At 38.0% G+C, this 21,517-nt stretch overlaps 1 protein-coding gene across 7 annotated transcripts in view, besides 3 other annotated features; it reads right to left on the reverse strand.

The window, feature by feature from the left end:
• Positions 9,494–11,139: an enhancer, noted in NCBI's record as "Element G fragment used in the pGL3B reporter constructs". NCBI's record gives its function as "weakly activates the CFTR promoter in transfected 6HBE14o- cells, and shows cooperative activity with the -44 kb CFTR enhancer" and the evidence as "EXISTENCE:reporter gene assay evidence [ECO:0000049][PMID:26615198]".
• Positions 9,738–10,938: a DNaseI hypersensitive site, noted in NCBI's record as "DHS+36.6kb or +36.6 kb DHS observed in airway epithelial cells; the nucleotide coordinates are approximate for this feature". NCBI's record gives the evidence for it as "EXISTENCE:in vivo cleavage assay evidence [ECO:0001075][PMID:19897727, PMID:21895967]".
• The window catches only part of CTTNBP2 (cortactin binding protein 2), a 162,791-nt gene continuing 158,567 nt past the window's right edge, over positions 17,294–21,517 (reverse strand). For all 7 annotated transcript variants that reach the window (NM_001363351.1, NM_033427.3, XM_024446964.2 and 4 more), the window contains exon 23: positions 17,294–18,425. In NM_001363351.1, coding sequence (NP_001350280.1) covers positions 18,180–18,425 — 246 coding nt within the window. In that variant the 3' untranslated portion in view covers positions 17,294–18,179. The remainder of the gene's footprint in view (positions 18,426–21,517) is intronic.
• Positions 20,325–20,850: a silencer, noted in NCBI's record as "nonconserved region 11 (NR11) negative regulatory element (NRE) in the greater CFTR locus". NCBI's record gives its function as "modestly represses an SV40 promoter coupled to the HS2 beta-globin enhancer in the forward orientation in transfected K562 cells {active_cell/tissue: K562}" and the evidence as "EXISTENCE:reporter gene assay evidence [ECO:0000049][PMID:18436892]".

Consider the following 21,517-nt stretch of genomic DNA (forward strand, 5'->3'; position numbering starts at 1 on the left):
TACGTTAATCACTTTGGGTCCAAGCTATGCATCTGGAAACTGGGGATAAGAATACTATTTCCATATCTGTCAAAAGGCAGAGGAGTGACCACATGGTCCTTCCAACTTTAAGTGTTATTACACCCAATTTTTAATTTTTCTGCTTTTCTCTTGCCAAATTCTTTCTGGTTGTCCTGTCCTTTATAGATAGGACATCATCACCTGAAATTGAGATATGGAGAACCAAGCTCAGAATTTTATGTTAGAAACTACTATCCACGCACTTCCTAATTTTTAGAGGGACAGAATAAGGGTGATTTGCATGTTTGTCTTTACTCTCCTGACAACTGAGACAGGAAACCAAGGATAGGAGCTCATGCAGGTAAAGAAGAAACAGGTTCAGATGTGGACATGACAACTTTGAAGTCACTGTCTGACATCTACTTCACAGCCAATTAGATCAAATTTACAAGCCACCACACACATATATAGTGCTAGTAAATATCAGCATATAAGTGGTTAAACCATGGGAGTGGATGAGATCCCTCAGGAAAATTGCATTGAGTTGAAGAGGAGGTGTCAAGCGTAAATTGTGCTTGGATGTTTGGGGTGAACAGAAGAAGACATTGCAGTGAAGAAGGCTGAGAAGCACCATCAGAGCAGAAAGACCAACAGCACTTGGTGTCATGGGGGCCATGGAAGGAGAAAGCCTTTATGGGGGCAGGAGGAGCCTGATCAGTAATGTCGAATAGAACAGACACTATATAATCGAAGGCTTTAACAACAAACATGAAAAAAGGCTCAACATCACTGATCATTAGAGAAATGGGAATCAAAACCACAATGATATACCATCTCATGCCAGTCAGAATGGCGATTATTAAAAAGTCAAGAGACAGCAGATGCTGGTGAGGCTGTGGAGAAATAGAAATGCTTTTACACTGTTGGTGGGAATGTAAATTGGTTCAACCATTGTGGAAGACAATGTGACAATTTCTCAGAGATCTAGAACCAGAAATACCATTTGACCCAGCAATCACATTACTGGATGTGTACCCAAAGGAATAGAAATCATTCTATTATAGAGATACATGCACGTGTATGTTCATTGCAGCGCTATTCACAATAGCAAAGACATAGAATCAACCCAAATGCCCATCAACGATAGACTGGATAAAATGTGGTACACATACACCATGGAATACTATGCAGCCATAAAAAGGAATGCGATAATGTCCTTTGCAGGGACATGGATGGAGCTGGAAGCCATTATCCTCAGCAAACTAATGCAGGAACAGAAAACCAAACGCTGCATGTTCTCACTTATAAGTGGGAGCTGAACAATGTGAACTCATAGACTCAGAGAGGGGTAAAACACACACTGGGGCCTGTTGTGGGGGGTGGGGATAAAGAGAGGGAGAGTATCAGGAAAAACAGCTAATGTGTGCTGGGCTTAATACCCAGGTGGTGGGTTGATAGGTGCAGCAAACCACCATGGCACACTTTTACCTATGTAACAAACCTGCACATCCTGCACATGTATTCCAGAAATTAAATTTAAAAAAAAATTGAAGGCATTAAAAATTACCTTTTGCTTCTGAAGACCAGACGGTCATTGGTGATTTTAGGAAGAGCATTTTCACTAATAGAGTGGGCATAGAGCACATTTTAGTTGATTAAAGAATAAAGGAGAGGAAGACAAGCCTGGATTAGACAATCTGGAAAGAGATGTCAGTTGTTAGAAGGTGATCCTTTTTGTCTCTTCACTGGGGCTTTTTGAGTGACATGCTGGCTCAAGGGAAAGATCCACAGCAAGGGAAGATGAAGGCAACCAAGTAGATCATTGAGGGAGCAAAGTCCTGGAGTAATTGTATAGGTGAAAGGGAAAAGTCTCATCTTATTATCTTTTGTAATAAGAAGTAGTTTAGTTCATTTTCTCTAAGAAGAAGCTATGAAGATGTGATTAGATGTGCAAGAGATTCGTTGAGATAACACTTGTAAAGGATAAAGAAGAAAGTGGGGAGACTCTTCAGATCTCAGGAGAGGTCTGACACCTGTGAAGGAGAGGGGAAGAAAAGACCAGGTAGGAAATGTGTCTAGCTGTAAGACAGTTCCAAGAAAGGCCTATGGAGTGAAAAAAACCTTCATTTAAAGAAGACACATGTCCCACAGAAATGGGCGTGGAAATGTCCCCTCCATTCTCAGTCAACAATTGGGAGCAGCATGCTGGAAGCCTGGTCCCAAAGCAGATGCAGAGGGGGACCCAGAGTGTAGCAGCTGAAGTCAGCAGCAATTACGCACGCTCTGGACATCTGAGCAGTGCGCTTTCATGGTAAAACCCTGATATAACTGGCTGATCTGGATGTGCAGAAATGAGAACAGGAAGATAAGTGAGTTCCCAGGTGGTGGCCTCATTTATTTTTGAAGTATGAAGTATTAGGATTATTCTAGCTAGAATGGGAATAGAGAATGGAATTGGAGAAACTTGAGTGATGGTTTAGAAGAGCAGAAACTGAAAGAAGGTAGGACTTTGATCTGCACAAGGTCTCATTGAGAATGGGTCCTGTAAGGGACTGTGATGTGTTGTGGCATTAACATGGCATGACTATGATTTTCCTCTAGAAGGATGTAGTAAGAATAGAGAAGGTAGATTTTGTGACTTATCTCTTTACTGTTAATGCTACTCCTGGTTCCAAGGCTGCCCCAGTTTTATAATTCTTAAGTTATTAGTAACTTGTCCTTTATTTGATTAAACACACAAAAAAATACATTGATTGAGCCTTATGTATGAAGCACAGGAGGAGATATAAGAATGGATTTCTGCCATCCAGGAGTGTGTACTTAACAGCAATACCTATGATGCAAGGCAGACTACGACAGGTAATATAAGAGAGGTAGAAATAAAGCCTATGGAACTTCAGAAGAGGAATAGAGTATCTGAGTAGGTAAAAGAGAGGACAGACTCAAAGACTTTATGGAGGTGGCTTGGTTTGGGATTCATAAAGTGGGTATAATTGTGACAGATTTGTTATCTATGTCTACTATTGTATGGTAGAAACCTTTCTTCTTTTTAATCTGCCTTTCAAGGCCTTCATCTAGGCTGGATGGTGACCACCTCATGCCCAGATTACTAATGAATTGCTCAGTCCCTCTTTAAATCTACTGTCTCATATATTTGATTACAAATACAACTGGGTAAATTATGTTGTTCATATAACCTAGAAGTTTTGGGGCCCTCTCCCCTGTTTCTCAAGCATAACTGATGCTACAGTACTTTGTCCTTTTTGCACATTTCCATGATGTCTTATTGTACTAATAAGTGCTCTCTAGACTGTGATGAACTAGTTGAGTTATAACCTTGGGTAGGAAATTACATAAGCTTGGTACATGGTAGTGTTAGAGCAAGGTCTTAGTTATTTGCTTAGTTTTCTCACCTGCCAGTGAGTTTGTAAATCACAGTCAAGGTCTTGGTTTGGAGAGGAAGGGAGGTAGCTCTGCTGTATTATTTAATCTGATTTACCAGTAAAGAAGCTAATGTTGAATGTTGATTCTTCACTTGGATAAGACTCCAGTTGTTTATAATATGGAATTGTAATATGGAATAATATTTTCACACCTCAGTAATCCATAATGAGTTCCTCTTCCACCTTTCCAGTTACTTGGGATAAAAACTACCTGAAATTACAAGATATGCAAAATGTTGTATAATCAGGGCCTCTATCTTAAAAACTGATTTACTACTATTTCTGGGAAATGTGCCTATTTTACACTTTGGACCTTATTCACTGTTGTTAAATTTTTCAGATAAAGCTCAACACAGTCCAGCAACTAGCTATGCTTAGCCTCCTTATCTTCATTTTTAATGCGACACCGTGAACTCCAGTCAAGAAAACACATTTAAGACCCTTTACACTTGACTGATGCACCTGAGGCTTTGCAGTGTTATGCAGAGGTATCAGTAAATATTTAATAGTTGTGAATGAAATTAAAGTCCTGGAACCCTTGTCCAACTAAATAGGCCCCTCCAAGAGACTGCTCTGATGTCATTTACTCACATAGCCAGTGCTTAGATGCTTCATGATTAGTAATTTTTGTATCCTTTCTGGAGGTTTTTTGCTCTCCATTTGGTGGTAAACTCTGGTAATGAATTTTTCACTCCAATTTTTGCCTAGGTTGCTACTATTGGTCTATTAGGGTGCCTTTTTTCAGACGAAAAGACATCATCTTTTAGGAAACCTTGTCAAGGTCAACAAAACATGAACTTATTTTAATAATCCTTTTGTATTAACAGTATTTACTTTTAGAATTATGAAGATGTGTTTATCCTTCCAAGCAGCAGTCTGGGTTGTTGCCACTTGAAAAAAAAATACGGTCTATTGGAGTTGGAGAATAGGCAGGAACCTTGATGTCATAAAGGAAAGGAGGTAAATGGACAGTACCTTAGTGTGGTTAAGGAAAGGGCTGAGGGAGGTTTAGTCTCTCTCAGATGTGGTAGAAACTTCCATGTGAGAACATTTGCCACCTCAGATGAGAACACTTTTTCCATTCTCCATAAGTCTAACTCTAAGCTTTTTTTTTCTTTTTTTTTTTTTTGTACTTTATTTTATTCTTTGAGAGGTGGGGAGGTGAGCTGCCCTTTCTTTGACTTAAGGTTCTTACTTTTTTGGCTTACAATTCTCAGAGACTCTGGCTGTCTGCATACAGAGGCCATTCAGAGCTCCATTTCAACAAGCAATTGCATATTTGATCCAATAATCCTCCAGCACGAGGATTTGGCAATCCTTTCAAAAACATTTTCCAAGTAGTTCTTAAAACCATCCCTTTTCATTAGGCAAGTGCCAGGTGAATAAACATGGCCCTAAACACTGTCCACCCTGCCTTGGCAAGGGAACATCTAAGGCTTGGGTAATTGATTTCCCCGTGGTTGCAAGAAGTTCACATAACATTATTCAATCATCTCTCAAGTTTGCTTGTGATTGCTAAATCATTTGTGACATTGGCCTGACCTCTTACATTTAGACTTCCTTATTCTTACCTATAAAACAAGATAAAAGGATTACTTGATTGATGTCTCCAAATGGCCAGTCTGTGGACCACTGAAGCACACTGGCTGCCTCATGTCCAAGTTCAACTGTGAACTTCCTATAACACAAGCCTTAATAACTCCATCCTCTTCCTCTCCAACTCCTCTCTTAGAGACCCTTGTAATTAATTTAGGTAAATGGCCAGCGCTCAGGCCTAAAATTAGGATCTGCCAAAGGAATTTACCATGAAGTTACACTTGTAATGACCCTCCCTAAACCTCCAAATATTCTCCTCAGAGGTCGCAAGATAATGAAGTAGTCACAGCCATGTGCTACAGTCCTGCACCAGCTAGACCTGTACCCTCATACTTCCACTACTTGACCCTGGTAGATCTCATCCAGAATCAAAGTCTATCTTTTGCTCCGAGTAGAAAAATATGAATGAGTAAGATTGTGCTTTCTGGTCCAGATGATCATGACTCAAACTACATGGCCATCTGGCCCCTCCATCTACAGTTAGAAGCACCACCTTGGCAATAATTGAAATGAACTTTCAACAAATCTGCTAGAGTCAAGACTGAATTATGCATTGTTTTATAATATCATTGCCATATGAAGAGGGAAACAATTGTGTGTGGCCTATGAAAAAGGTGTTACCATCCCTGGATTGCAATTTTTTTGTTAGTTTTTTTTGAGACAGAGTCTCACTCTGTAACCAGGCTGGAGCGCAGTGGCGTGATCTCGGTTCATTGCAACCTCCGCCTCCCAAGATTAAGCGATTCTCCTACCTCAGCCTCCCAAGCAGCTGGGACTACAGGCGTGCACCATCACACCTAGCTAATTTTTGTATTTTCAGTAGAGACGGGCTTTCGCCATGTTGGCCAGGATGGTTTCGATCTCTTGACCTCGTGATCTGCCCACCTTGGCCTCCCAAAGTGCTGGGATTCCAGGCATAAGCCACTGTGCCTGGCCTGTTAGGGTTTTGTTTGTTTTTTTTTTTTGGCATGACAACTTTATTGAGATATAATTCACATACACATAGGATATCATACAATTTGCCCATTTAAAGTATACAGTTCAGTGGCTTTTAGTATATTCAGTTGTGCAACTATCACCACTATCAATTTTAGAATCACCTCAAGAAGAAAACCCATTCCCTTTAACTATCAGCCCCTGTCCTTTCTATCTCCCCCAGTCCTAAGCAACACTTAATCTACTTTCTATCTCTGTATATTTGTAAAATTTTAAAAAAGATTGTTCAATTGGAAGAATTTTTAAAATATATCCACAATAATATAGTTTATATGTGTTATATATCATTTTCTTAACATGTGTTCTCTAGCTTGGATTTCTCCCTTTTCTAGATCATTGATGTGGAGAAATAGACACTGGGTCCTGTTCTCTGCCCTCCATTTGATCTAGTGCCCACAACTAAACACAATTTTCTACAAAAATAAAGGCAGGACAAATGGGATAGCATAACTGACCCTTCTGATATACTTTTTTTATAAAAAAGGGGAAAAAAATTATCTTCTCAAGTTAGGAACTACAGAATTGACCTGGAAAAAGAGTGGGCCCAAAAGAAAGATTCCTAAAGTATCTCATTAGTGCCATGACTAGCAGGCAACATAAGCAGCTCGATTAGCTCACCATATGATTGACAGGAGATGGAGAAGATGTTGGGGGTGGTGGTGGTGGTGGTAGAATTGGGGGAAGAGTTATTTATATTTGGGTGTGGCATATGAGTTTCCTCAGAGATTCTTGCTTTGGGTATTAAAAGTGTTTAATTTTTATAAAAATTTTCAATAAAAAGGCAAATACCTAAGTGCCCTGAAGAAGTTTGAGACTTAGATACCAATTCAAAATTCAAGAATTATGACTGTTCTAGAAGTCTTATGAAACTTGTATACTTCATCTGTGTGATATTTGGCAATGTGCATCTTGACTTTGGCATAGATAAGTCACTCACCTGAGGTTTTAAAGCAATAACTTTTTAATTTAGGGTAGACTCTTTTTTCAGCTTGTTCATGAGTGATAGATACTCTGGGAAGGTGGACACTTTTCTCAGTCGAAGGGAGGTATTATTCATATGGAATTCTATATAAATGTATATAAATGGTGTCCCCTAAAGCATAAGTCTGTTGATGAGTCTTTAAAGAGACTATACCGGTTAGATTCTACAATATACAGGTTGACAATATCCGATGGGAAATGTGGCTTGATTTGAAATTAGAAGGCAGACATTCAAATGACTAATCTCAAGTCTGCCCCCAAGGTACTGTATAATTCTATGATTCTGGGCTTCATTTTTGAAAAGTCTAAAGAGATGATGAAGTACATCTGTCAAGAAAGGCATGAGAAGAAACAAAATGATCCATCTTGGCTGTGCAAATGCTGTAATGAATGGGGAAGTTGGTAGATGTGGTCTTAACAGGGTGTAGGCTTGTGCTGAAATAAATAAATAAATAAATAAATACAAACCACAAGACTGACGTGACTGCCCAGTTGTGAACATTGTATGAAGGTTTAGTTGGCAGAGTAATGCTTTTCAAGTATGTTGGATAAATATTAGGTTTAAAGGCCAAGATACTTATAAGTATTTACAGGATTAAGTGAGGTATAAAATAATATTTAGTGTCTCAAAGGATGGGAAGGAAGATAGTGTTGTGGTCATTCCACAGAGGAAGTTAGAACTGCACATCCAAAATTTGGTTCAGATATCAATGCTAATGATGACACAAATACACACATACATATACACATACACCTCAAGATGGTATTAACAATTTTATTATTCATATAATGAGGTCTTCTGAGAAAAACAGGCCAGGCTCCCAAGCAAGTCTAAAAATGGATTGAGAGAACAGGGAGGGAGAATTGACTTGGGGTTTTATGTGGTGGAGTAGTGTGGCTGGAGAGAGAGTTGTCTTGTGTAAGCTGGGGCTTATTTGGTTTGAATTTCTCAATAATGCAAAAGTTGAGGCATCCAAGCATCTCATCAGCTTCTCTAGATGTGGCTTGAGTTGCCAGGAGGCAAATTCAACTGTTAGTGTTTTGTGTCCTAAGACATCTTGTCTAATCTGAGGTAAAAGCTTTTTCCTATTTTTTAGAAGGTGTATAATTTTGGCTCTTCTGCTTAGCTCTACCATCCATTTTGAGTTGATTTTTATATATGTTATAAATTAAGGATTGGAGTTTTCTTTTATTGGTATTTATTGATAATACAACTGTTTCAGCATCATTTGTTGTAAAGATTGTTTTTCTCCATGGAACAACTTTGGCACTTTATAAAAAAAAATAAGCATGTGTGAGTGGGTCTATTTTTGAACTCTATTCTGTTCCAGGATCTGTACATTTGTCCTTATGCCAGTACCACCTTATCTTAATTACCGTAGTTTTATAGTAAGTATTTTCTGTTAATGCCAATTCTACAACTTTATTTTTTTCAAAATTGTTTTGGCTATTTTATATCCTTCATATTTCCATATAAATTTTAGGTTCAGCTTATTATTTTTTATAAAAAATCGGAAGTTTTTTTGCAACTTCTGCAAAGGTTATCAAAAACCATCAAAGGAGATTGCTTTGAATCTATGAATTATTTGGGGGAGAATTGACATCTTAAAAATATTGATCCTTCTCATCCATTGACATGGTACATCTCCATGTTTTTTAGGTTACAGTGTACACATCTTATATATTTTATTAAAGTACCCATAGATATTTCTTAATTTTGATGCTATTATAAATATCTTAAATTACAGTTTGCTAGTATGTGGAATTACAATTTATTTTTATATATTGATCTTGTATCTTAGGACCTTACTAACTTATTTATTAGTTTTAGTTGCTTACTTTTAGGTTCCTTAATTTTTATAACATCAATCACATCTGCAAAAAAAGTTTTACTACTTTTTCACCATGCAAACTTTAATTTTCTTTATCTTGTCTATTTATACTAGCTAGAATCTCACGTACAATGATGACTAGAGGAGGCAAAAGTGGTCATCTTTGTCATATTTCTGATCTCAGGGGCAAACATAATGTTAGCTGTGTTCATTTTGTTTGTTTTTTACAGATGTACTTTTCAAGTTAAGTGCCTTCTCTTCCTGGTCAGCTGAGAGTTATTTTTTAATCACAAATGAATGTTAAATTTTGTCTTATGTTTTTCTGCCTGTATTGAAATGATCATGTGTTTTCCTCTCCTGTGTTTCACCTTTGTTTTAGAAAGATATTTTCACTAGATAAAGTTTTTAGGTTGACAGTGTTTTTCTTCCAGCACTTAAGAAATACTTGATTTTCTTCCAGCACTTCAGAAATATTTGATTTTCTTCTGCAGAATACAGTTTATGATAAATCAGAAGTCATTCTTTCCTGTAACATGCCTTTTTCTCTGGCTACGTTTAAGATTTTCTCTTTATCACTTAGTACTTCCTAATTAAAAATCCATGCCCCAGCAGTGGTCAGCTAGCATTCTAAAGAGGAATGCTGAGGCAGCTACCACAAACACTTCTCTAACTTTATTATTGATTGACATTACAGCCTTTGCTAATTAGTGTAATAAATGTCAGAAATTAGTAACTTGACAGTCAGCTTACTGGAAGTTAGAATTACGATCTTGTTGGTTAAATAAGTATTCAAATTCTGTAGCCTGGCTAAAGTATTTTGAAGACACTCTTGAGAGAGACTAGAACATAAGCATCAAAGGAACCCAAGCACCTTCTGCAAGGCAGAAGGGGTTCGGTGGGTATGAAATGATGGAGGTGGGAAAGGAAGATCAAAAAAGGGGTTGGGTAATGCCAAAACCCAAATACTGGGGATTATTAGAAGACATGGTTCAAGAGAGAAGCTAATCCATGGGTGCAGGCCAGTGTCCAGAGAGAGAGACCACTGCAAGAGGCCCTGTCTGGATGTTCAGGACCTCTGAGAATATATTGTTTGCTGGCTGATTGCCCACTTTCCACAGGGCCAGTTCTATTTCTTTGTTTTTTGCCCTCCTATTATCCACTTACTCCATGCAATGTGACCGCAAGAGTTCTAAAAGCCTACATAATAGACATGTAAATACCGGTGGTGGTGACAGAGGTGGTGAGAGTGAGAAACTCACAAATTTAATTGAGAGGAACTTGAACTGAAATGGGTTCTTGGTTAGGCTAGGACACCACCATTATATCATGATGATCATATTTTTATAGTTCTTGTCAAACATATATCTCCTATAGTACTTGTATATGATAGTACTAGGTATTGGAAGCCAAAATAAATGAGTAAAGTATGAATAGACTTCGCCTTCAAGCAGCTGACAGGGTTTGGTTGGTAGTAAATATTTGGAACATTTTTTTTCCCCTTAAAGTTCCTGGACTCAGCTAGGACTAGCCAAATGAAATGTCTCTTTACCAAAATGCTCATCTTCAGCCTGTGTTGCTTTTTTGCACTCGTGTCCACTTTTCCGGCTTTTGGCCCATTTCCTTGGCTTTGTTGCTCCCCACTTCGGTTCCAGCAGGTCCTTGGTCACTACCCCCCACATAACAACATGCACCTGGGGGCATCGCCTGAGCTTAAAGGCCCCCATTCCTCAATTGTATCTGATCCCTTCCCTCTAACTAAATGCAGGATTCTGATTCCATTCCCTCAGCATTTGGGCAGGAAAAGAAATCTCAACTATTTGAGATGTGCCTGATGAATTACAGAAGCAAAGAATTCTGGAGTTAGAAGTTATCTTAGTTCCAAGTTAAAAATCCAGGCCCAGGAAAGTGTCACATGGTCAATGACACAAATCACTCACCGGCAGAACAGGGAGGAGTTTCACTACTTCAATTCTCTATTTACCATATCACAAAATATGTAAGATATCACATTCTAATAATGTAATTCAGAAATAAGAGAAGGATAGCGTAGCAGGAACACCACACCTTGCCTCTCAAATTACACCACACAGAGGCTGCATATTACACTAGTTCCAATTTCATTACTCACAAAGCCAATCTTGAAAATGCCCAGGTAAAGTAAATTGTCAGGAAGTTCTGAATAATAAACTCGTTTGATAAAACCAACTCACAATGCTTCTTCCTTAAAAATATTTTGGTGGAAATATTATTATATTTGGACATAAATACCCCCTGAAGGACTTGTTAGGAAGAAAATAGATCATTGTTTAGGTCCCTTAGCACAGAGGTCTGAAAGTCAAATAAACTTGGTCAGGCTGTTTTCTCTTCCTAAAGAGAATAAAAGGCCCCCAATCAATGGGTGGTCACCATAGAAAAAATTCGGCTCTAAGTCAGAGTGACTTGAATATCTGTGTGCTATTTTTATTTCAGAAAACCAAGAAGACACACCAAAAAATCCCGATTAAAAGGGAAGAAATGTGTTTAAAGAGCTTGTTGACTTCTTAAAAACAAAAATTCCTGCATAGATTTTGGTTAGGATTGCTTTAAATCTGTAGATTTGGAGATTTTCAAAAATATAGTACATTATTATTATTATTGTTTGAGACAGAGTCTCGCTCTGTTGCCCAGGCTGGAGTGCAGTAGCACGATCTCAGTTCACTGCAGTCTCTGCCTTCTGGGTTCAAGCAATTCTCCTGCCTCAGCCTCCCAAGTAGCTGGGATTACAGGTGCCCGCCACCACACCCAGCTAATTTTTGTATTTTTCGTAAAGACAGGGTTTCACCATATCAACCAGGCTGGTCTAGAACTCCTGACCTCAGATAATCCACCCCCCTCAGCCTTCCAAAGTGCTGGGATTACAGGCATGAGCCACTGTGCATGGCCAATATATTATTATTAACCATAGTCATCATGATGTGCAATAGATCTCTTGAACTTATTTCTCCCTTCTGATTTTTTTTTTTTTTTTGAGACAGGGTCTGGCTTTGTTGCCTAGGCTAGAGTGCAGTGGCATGATCTTGGCTCACAGCAACCTCCACCTCCTGGGCTCAAGCCATCCTCCCAACTCAGCCTCCCAAGTAACTAGTACTACAGGTGTACACCACCACACCTGGCTACTTTTTTTTGTATTTTTTGTAGAGATGGGGTTTTGCCATGTTGCCCAGGCTGGCCTCAAACTCCTGAGCTCAGGAGATTCACCTGCCTCAGCCTCCCAAAGTGCTAAGATTACAGGTGTGAGCCACCATGCCTAGCCTTTAACTGAAATTGTGTACCCTTTGAGCAATACCTTCCCAATCTCCTCTCCATTCTACTCTCTACTTCTATGAGTTCATATTTTTTAAAGATTCTACCACGTAAGTGAGATTATGTGGTATTTGTCTTTCTGTGCCTGACTTATTTTGCTTATCATAATGTCCTCCAGGTTCATCCACGTTGTCACAAATGACAGGATTTCCTTAAGACTGAATAGCATTCCATTTTGTATGTATGCCATATTTTCTTTATCCACTCATCTGTTGATGGACACTGAGGATGATTCCATATCTTGGAAGTTGTAAATAGTGCTACAGTAAACATGGGAGTACAGATAATCTCTTTGACACGCTGACGTCATTTCCTTTGGAAATAGCCCTACCAGTAGTATGATTGCTGGATCCTATGTTCTATTTTTCTTTTTCTTTTTCCTTTTTTTTTTAATTTTTATTTTTTGAGACAGAGTCTCGCTCTGTTGCCAGGCTGGAGTGCAGTGATGCAATCTTGGCTCACTGCAACCTCTGCCTCCCAGGTTCAAACAATTTTCCTGCCTCAGCCTCCTGAGTAGCTGGGATTACAGGTGCATGCCATCACACCCAGCTAATTATTGTATTTTTAGTAGATATGGGATTTCACCATGTTGGCCAGGATGGTCTTGATCTCTTGACCTTGTGGTCTGCCTGCCTCAGCCTCCCAAAGTGCTGAGATTACAGGCATGAGCCACCATGCCCAACCTATTTTTAATTTTTAAAGGAACCTCTATACTGTTTTTTATAATGGCTGTACTAATTTACATACCTACCAACGGTGTACAAGGGGCCACTCTACATCCTCTCCAACACTTGTTACCTTTCATCTTTTTCGATAATGATTATTCTAACAGGTGTGAGGTGACATATCCTTGTGGTTTTAATTTGCATTGCCCTGATGATTCATATGTTGAGCATTTTTTCATATCCCTGTTGCCTTCTCTTGAGAAATATCTATTCAGGTCTTTTGCCCACTTAATTGGGTTGTTTTCTTGCCATTGAGTTGACTTTTTATATATTTTGGATATTAATCCTTATCAGCTATGTGGTTTGCAAAAATGTTCTTCCATTCTGTAGGTTCCTTCTTCACTCTGTTGATTGTTTCCTTTGCTGTGTGATGCTTTTTAATTTAATGTAATTTAATCTCACTTGTCTATTTTTCCATAAGAAGAGTTGCCAGTGCTGTTTACCCTGGCTGCTACATACCCTGATCCCTGAAGACCGTTTCTTGAACCATTCTGCTCTAAAGTAATCCTCCTTCCATGATCTTTACCAAGTGCTTTGTATTATTAATACATCACTATACTGATTTCCTTTATAGAACATACACAATGAAAAATTATCTTGCTTTGTTTATTTACTCACTGTCTCAGCCCTATTAAGATGGAAAATGCCTGGCATGTCTTAATGCTTTATTCCTAGTCCCTAGCACGATATTACTTTAATGAATAAGTAAGGTTTGAAGCCACTCTGAGTAGATGTGAATATTTGAATTAGCTTAGGAGAAATATATTCTCGATTTCCTTAAATTACAACTGAAATGACTTTTGTGATATGTATAGCTGATGCCCTTACTATAAGGTATCAGGATATACTGGAAAAACTTGCAGGATTTTTTATTTTTCCATTGTGTTTTTCTTTCTAGGAGGCAGAAAAACCTTCTGAATTTTTACCATGATGACATTAAAGCCAGAGATGTTAAGTGTCATTGTAGTTAGCTCTGTGGCCAGAACCTGAGCTGGCAACTCCTGATATGAGTGCTTCACTATGAAAGACAGACTAGATATGGCAAGTAACTGCACATTCCTTCTCAGTGTGTTTCCCAGTCTTCTCTTTCAAATTAACACTCAATGGGCATCCTGATACACAACTAAACATACATATTCATGGTCAAATCCAGGCTAATAGAGGATATCTATTCACTCATTTCCTCCTTTGACACCTGTAGAATGTTATCTGAATAAAATGATTTTGCAAAGGGATGGGATAGAATTTAGAAAGCATCGCATTACTTCAGAGAGTGACTTTTCTTTAATGGGTCTTAGTTGTTAAGAACAGATGCCTAAATAAGGTGATGCCTAAAGTGATGCCTGGGGCTAGTCAACTGAATTTAATGTTCACTAAGGATTAACTGCTCACAAAAACTGTATTTGTGAAAAATTGACCTTGTCTATCCAAATTGGCTACTTCTAATAACTAGCTTTTATAGTCTACTTGTTTTCTTTTTTACATAAACAACTACAAAATGTATTAGTCTATTTTGGAGAAACTCTTAAAATAGAATGAAATTGAAAATTGCTAAAGTGTTATAGTTATTTTCAGTTAGATATTTCTATGAATTATTTTATACACTCATGGTTTAAAATCCAATTTTCATAATATAGTTGCCAGCATCTGTGAATTATTACAATTTGAAAAGATTTGGAATGCCATAACTTTTTAAAAATGTTCTGCTCTGATCTTTATTTCCTTTCTTCTAACTCTGGGCTTAGTTTGTCCTTGTTTTCTTTTTTTTTATTATTATTATACTTTAAGTTCTGAGATACATGTGCAGAATGTGCAGGTTTGTTACATAGTTATACACGTGACATGGTGGTTTGCTGCACCCATCAACCCGTCATCTACATTAGGTATTTCTCCTAATGCTCTCTCTACCCTAGCCCCCCACCCACCGACAGACCCTGGTGTGTGATGTTCCCTTCCCTGTGTCCATGTGTTCTCGTGGTTCAACTCCCACTTATGAGAACATGCGGTGTTTGGTTCCTGTGTTAGTTTGCTGAGAATGATGGTTTCCAACTTTATCCATGTCCCTGCAAAGGACATGAACTCATCCTTTTTTATGGCTGCATAGTATTCCACAGTGTATATGTGCCACATTTCTTTATCCAGTTTGTCACTGGTGGGCATTTGGGGTGGTTCCAAGCCTTTGCTATTGTGAACAGTACTGCAATAAACATACTTGTGCATGCGTCTTTATAGTAGAATGATTTATAATCCTGTGGGTATATACCCAGTAATGGGATTGCTTTTCTAATGTCTTGAGGTATGACATTTAGGTTATTTTGGATCTTTGTCCTTTTTTAATGTATATTACTATAAACTTCCCTCATAAAACTGGTTTGCCGCACCCCGTAAGGTTTGGTATGGTGTTTCCATTTTTGTCTCAAGACATTTTAAATTTGCCTTTTAATTTATTCATTGATCCATTGGTAGTTAAGCATGTTAATTTTCATATATTATTGAATTTTCTGAAATTTCTTATTGATTTCTAATTTCATACCATAGGTCAGAAAAGATATTTGATATGATTTCAATCTTCTTAAAGCTAAGTCTTGTTTTGTGGCTTAATAATGACCTATCCTGGAGAATGTTCTGTGTGTGCTTGAGAAGAATATATTCTGCTGTTGGAAGAAATGTTCTGTATATACCTATGTCCATTTGGTCTAAAGTGTAGTTTAAGTTCAATATTTCCATATCGATTGGATGATCTGTCCATTGTTGAAAGCGGGATATTGAAGTCTCCTACTGTTATTGTATTGCTCCAACTTCTGATCCTTAAAATTTGCTTCATATAGAATACCATAAAAAGTTCTGAGATATTGATTACTTATTTTATGAATGTGTGAGGCAACTAGGAAGGCTTTACTGCGTTATCTAACACTCATGGACAACCTGTAGGTTTTTTTAACTACAGAGAAAACGTAATAGAAAAGATGTGCCAGGCACAGTGGCTCATGCTTGTAATTAATCCCAGCACTTTGGGAGGCCGAAGCAGGTGGATCACTTGAGGTCAGGAGTCCAAGACCAGCCTGGCCAACATGGTGAAACCCCGTCTCTACTAAAAATAAAAAATTAGCTGAGCGTGGTGGTGCATGCCTGCAATCTCAGCTACTTGGAGGTTGAGGCTGGAGAATCGCTTGAATCTGGGAGGTGGAGGTTGCAGTGAGCTGATATTGCACCACTGCACTCCAGCTGGGTGACAGAGACTCCATCTTAAAAAAAAAAAAAAAAAAAAAAAAAAGATTAACTTGTCTCATGCCACACAGCTAATAAATGGCAGTGCTTAATTCATCCCCAAGGCTGTTTACCACCAAAGACTATATGACCCCTCAATGCAGCCTCCACTTAAGTAATGCAGTTAAGAACTGCCAACACTAGGTGCCATGATAGGGTATTGACTCTCAAAGATATTTGACCATGACCCAGTTATATTTTGTGTCACATATACATACATTCCTACATCCACGATAGAAACAAAAGTCTCACCAACAGTTCTTGTATTGACTGTGAGACAATAAAAGATGACTCTGACATTTTCTAATTTTTAATGCTAGTTGTAACTCACTAAATTGCTATAATGACCCACTGGTATTATACCTGTATTTGAAAGCCGTGTTCTAAATGTCCTTTTTAGACATCTTGCAGTCTGCCCTCAATTACAAAAAGTGCATTTGTTGAATGTTACTGACAGTCACATGGATCAATTACTACAAGTCATCTTAATAATGTATTCCAAAAATGGTTTTGTTTTCTCACCTCTAGTCCTTGAGTACACTAATGGGATCTTTATCTTCAGAAAAGCTGCTAATATAAAACACAATGCCTTATCACTAACAAATCAAATTAGATATAATCTAAGCAGGTGTATGTGAGCAGGAAAAAAACCACATTAGAGCCACCTGAATCTAGATATGATCTATGATTTTGACAGCATTCAGTTTTGTTCTCAAGATCAGTGACATAATCTTTACTACATATTGTTATTTTTAAGGTATGTGCAGTTTTGTAACAGCAATACAATGCAGGTATGTACACTTCATTGTAAATAACCATTCTGGCGAAAAAAAGGCTTTCAATGACTTTGGACAAGTAAATGATTCTTGGTACAAAATCATACTTCTTTGGTATTTATGAAAAAAAAGGAAGGTGTTTTAACTCTGAGCACCCAATTCCTGGTGCTCCATTTAAGTATTTAAGATGTTTCTAATTAGGGTTGAGTCTTGTTGTGAACAGCTAGTGAAATACTAACATGGGAGGGCAAGTTTTATGAGCATTGATAAATTGAACACAAATTATCTGTTACAGAGACTACAAAGAGCTATAGATAAAAAGTACAGCAAAATGATTTCATGAAATCAATATTTTATTCAGTGTCAAAGCATCTTAACTGAATTGTGTAAGTAATTTTGTCTGTAATTTTAGAAGTAACATTTGTAGAAAATATCAATATTATCAGTTGTGCTACTAGAAATATTGAAGGAGTTAATTCTGAATTTATTCATTTATGCAGTTATCTATATCCACTTAGGTACAAAACTTTTGTAAGAAAGATAACACTTTTATTGCATTATAATTTCATATTTTACAGGAGTCATAATGCAAACTTATAAGCATAAATATATACATGATGCTACCAAATGGCAATGTAACCACTAAGAGATTTAAAACATAAAACTAGAATTTAACAAGCAAAATACTTAATATGGCTTTTAATGGAAAATAACTGTTTAGAAATGATTTGTTATTGCCCCATTCTAGTCATTCCCCATCAAGTGAACATAAAATTATGATCTCCATTTAAAACGGTACAAGTTATCTAAGCCAACTTTGTACTTTTTTGCTACTTTTTTGTAGCATGTATGCAGTATGATTTCTGGACTTCCTTAAATATACATACATATATACATATATACAGATATACAGTACACAGTTCTGTTTTAATACCCCTGAACATCTTGATTAAAACTATTACAATTTTTCTATTATAAAACTACTTGAAAAGTTGGCATAACTTCCTGGTATTGAAGTTCAATCCTACAGAATTAAAAAAAAAAGCAACAAAATGTTGGTTATAAATACATTCTTTACAAAAAAAAATTGAATAGTGGTCCCGCACTCATAATTTATATTACAGTGAAAACATTTTATCAATTTAAAGGTATTTGTATCTTGTTGTCCTTGGTTTCTGTGTGAAATAGAGGAAGTTAATAATGAGAATATTGTAGGCAGGCCTATTTGTTAGGTTTTTCTAGGTGTTCATTTTTGTGTAAGTTCCAATTCACTTCTTTTGAGTTGTTGTTGATTTCTATTTGCCTTGTATTACTGCTGCTGCTGCTTCTTTTGGTGTTCTGGGAACACTGGGTGACTTTACTTCTAGGAACAGGAAGAAAAGATTTAACTCTTGAAACACCCAACTCAGTCTTTGATTTACTGTTGCTGCATTCAGTAGTTTGATGGCTGCTGAGAGGACTGACCTCCTGTAAGAGACAAGAAACCACACAAGTTTATCACAAACTTCTCCTGTTATGAGCCCTACCCCTGCCTCCTCTTTGAGCAAATGTACAGGAGTTTCTCTCTAAAACTATAGGTTCTCGTGAAAAATCAAAAGAAAATGGAGAGGAGAAGCTGAGTAATTAATTTCCTATAGACTTACTGCATGATTTTCATTAATCCATCTGCTGTTACAAAATTCCTAAATACAGGAGTCAGTGAATCAAGTGCTAAGGCGTCGATCTCCTTACCAACAGAAACTTCACAAAATTACAGGCATGAGGAAATCACCAAATTGGAGTAGTCCCATTTGTAGGTAGCTCTACAAACTATGTCACCTTGGGTAAATCACCTAACTTTTCTGCTTTCTACTTTCAAGTCTTAAAAGTGAACTATTACTCAATAATCAAATAATCTGGGGGCATATAGGAGAAAACATAAGAGAAACATTCCTTCCCTAGCAGAACCTACATTCATCTATGGTTAGGCCACTCAAGATCTTCCATACTTGGAAGCTGCATGTTCTCATTTCTCTAATGTTTCAGAAATCCTGTGATTACCTGGTCAATGTCTCTCATTTTGCCCATGAAGAATCTGAGAGCTGGATAGGTAAGATGATTTGCCCACAGTGAACGGAGTGGTGAAGCTGGGACAAGACCTCAGGTCTCCCAACTTTCACTCAAGGTATTTTCCCTATATTGCATTAAATTCTGCAAACTAACAAACATGACATGACTCCTACTAAGTGACCTACTCTGAATGCCTCTGAAGGAGTTGACCTTGATAACTTCTCCTCTTCAAAAGTAATAATGCACCCAACAGCAATATAACCATTACAAGAATTTAAAACAAAACTAAAATTTAACAGGAAAAATCTGGCTTCATCTGGCAGTTGCGGCAGTTGCATTCTCCTGGGTATCGTCTTATATGACATTGGAATCACCTGGGGGAGCTTTAATAGTCATTGGCTGGGCCCTATTACCAGAGATTCATATTTAATAGTTCTGGGGTGTGGCATGGACATACGATTTTAAAAAATCTTGCGGCCAAAGAACGCCTAGCTTAACTCCTCACTATCCTTTTTCTCCATTGAGCAATTAAATCAAGGGTCCCCAAGCCACAGGCTGTGGACCAGTCCATGGCCTATTAATAACTGGGCAGCACAGCAGGACGTGAGCGGGGGCGAGCCAGTATTACCACCTGAGCTCCGCCTCCTGTCAGATCAGCAGCATTAGATTCTCATAGTAGTACAAACCCTCTTGTGAATTGTGCAAGTGAGGGGTCTAGGTTGCCCAGTCCTTGCGAGAATCTAATGCCTAAAGATCTGAGATGGAACAGTTTCATCCGGAAACTACCCAGGTCCGTGGAAAAATTGTCTTCCACGAAACCAGTCTCCAGTGCCAAAATGGCTGGGGACTGCTGTCCTAAATGGTAGCATTTTTCTTAGCCCTCTATAAGTCACACATTGATAATCTTTCCCTTCAGAGTATTTCAAGCTCTAAGTATTTCCCAAAGTTCTTTCTTTAGCCCTCATTTATCTCCTGCATTTCCACCCCACTAATTCACCTATATGTCTAGCCACACTTCAAATTCTTTCTAAAACTGTATTTATTGCATTTCTTCAATACTAATTTCTAAAGCCTTTCCGCTTGGCTCATTACTGGCTAATGCTGCTCTCCCAGTGAATTTAGCAGGAAATCCTCAGTTATCTTTAGCAGCTGCCTTTCTCTCTCTCCTCACCAACCTAATCCAATGTTACCCACAAAATGGGCAGAGAATTATGGCTGTGTTTGTGTGAATAGGAAGGTAAAGGATAAGTCCTCACTAACTGGCATGTCACTAAAGTTCTTTTAAAGTTTGGCTCCAATCCCCTTTAAATCCTATTTTTCCTTTACTTCCCTGTTAAAGTCCTAATTCTTTAAAGCCCAACACAACATGTTCATTAAACTACCCCTAAATCACCAAAGTGAAATCTCTTGGGGTCAGATTTTCAGACTCAGCTAATCTTAAGTGGAACAGCAATGTAACTCTAATATATACTTGGCTAGTGGTTTGGGAAAATATAAAAACACTGAAACAACAAATATGTAATGGAGAATAAAGAGGGGACAAATCTGGGGTCCAGGCCACCTGCATTTACAGGGAAAGGAAAGAGAAGTCTAGACTGCAAGAAGCTAGCTTAGAAAGGCAAGAGCTTCCTGATAAAACAAAAAACAGATGGGCTCGGTTTTAACTACGTCCGAGGAAGCCTGGAAAAAGGCTGAGCTACATCTGGTGAGGGAACACATCCTAGTCCATCCTCGTCACCTCCATGTGTACTTGATGGTATGTTAAGGGCGAATCTGCTTAGTATGTTCTGCTTTTGTTTTGTAAAGATGCTTATGCTGTCAAGTTACCAGAAAGAAAATGAGAAGTTACATTGCTTGTCATGAGTTGGATGGTGATAGTCACAACTGTAAAAACAGTGCAGGTACCAGGATCCAATCTCATTTTTCCTAACAAGAAATTACTGTTAAGTCCGCAAAATGGGACTTGGTCATGGGCCTACTAAGGCCAATTAGAACTTGTAATTTGGTTTAAAACACCAGCAAATGCAACACATACGTAGTATTCAGAAAACATGAAATATGGCATTATAATAAGGATAACAGTTAGTTGCTATACAGAATCTGGTGGTGAGGGGAGTTGTTTAATTTTGCCATTATTGTCAAATCTACAGAGTTAATTAATGCCATGGCCCAGAGGAAGGAAAGGAGACATACACTGTTCTAGTCTGTTTCTGTACCTGCAACATGATGGTGAGGGGAGTGTACCTTCATGGTCTGAGGCAGGAAATATCCACATGAAATAAAGTACTGAGAAGTACCCAGAACAACTAAAAACATGTAGTTTGGTCAGTCCCTGGAAGTGTGAGGCTAGAATGGAAGGAGTTAGGATGAGAACATGGAGAATCACTTGGGCTTAGCGTGAGCCACAGCAATTCAAGGCCAGGAGTGCAAGAATAGAGCAGGTGACCAATGCACAGCATCCTGCCTGAAAAGTGCTCCTGACACCCTGGAAGTCAAGCCTAGGGGGCAGC

This window comes from Homo sapiens, chromosome 7 (assembly GCF_000001405.40).
Source record: "Homo sapiens chromosome 7, GRCh38.p14 Primary Assembly".
NCBI classification, from domain to species: domain Eukaryota; kingdom Metazoa; phylum Chordata; class Mammalia; order Primates; family Hominidae; genus Homo; species Homo sapiens.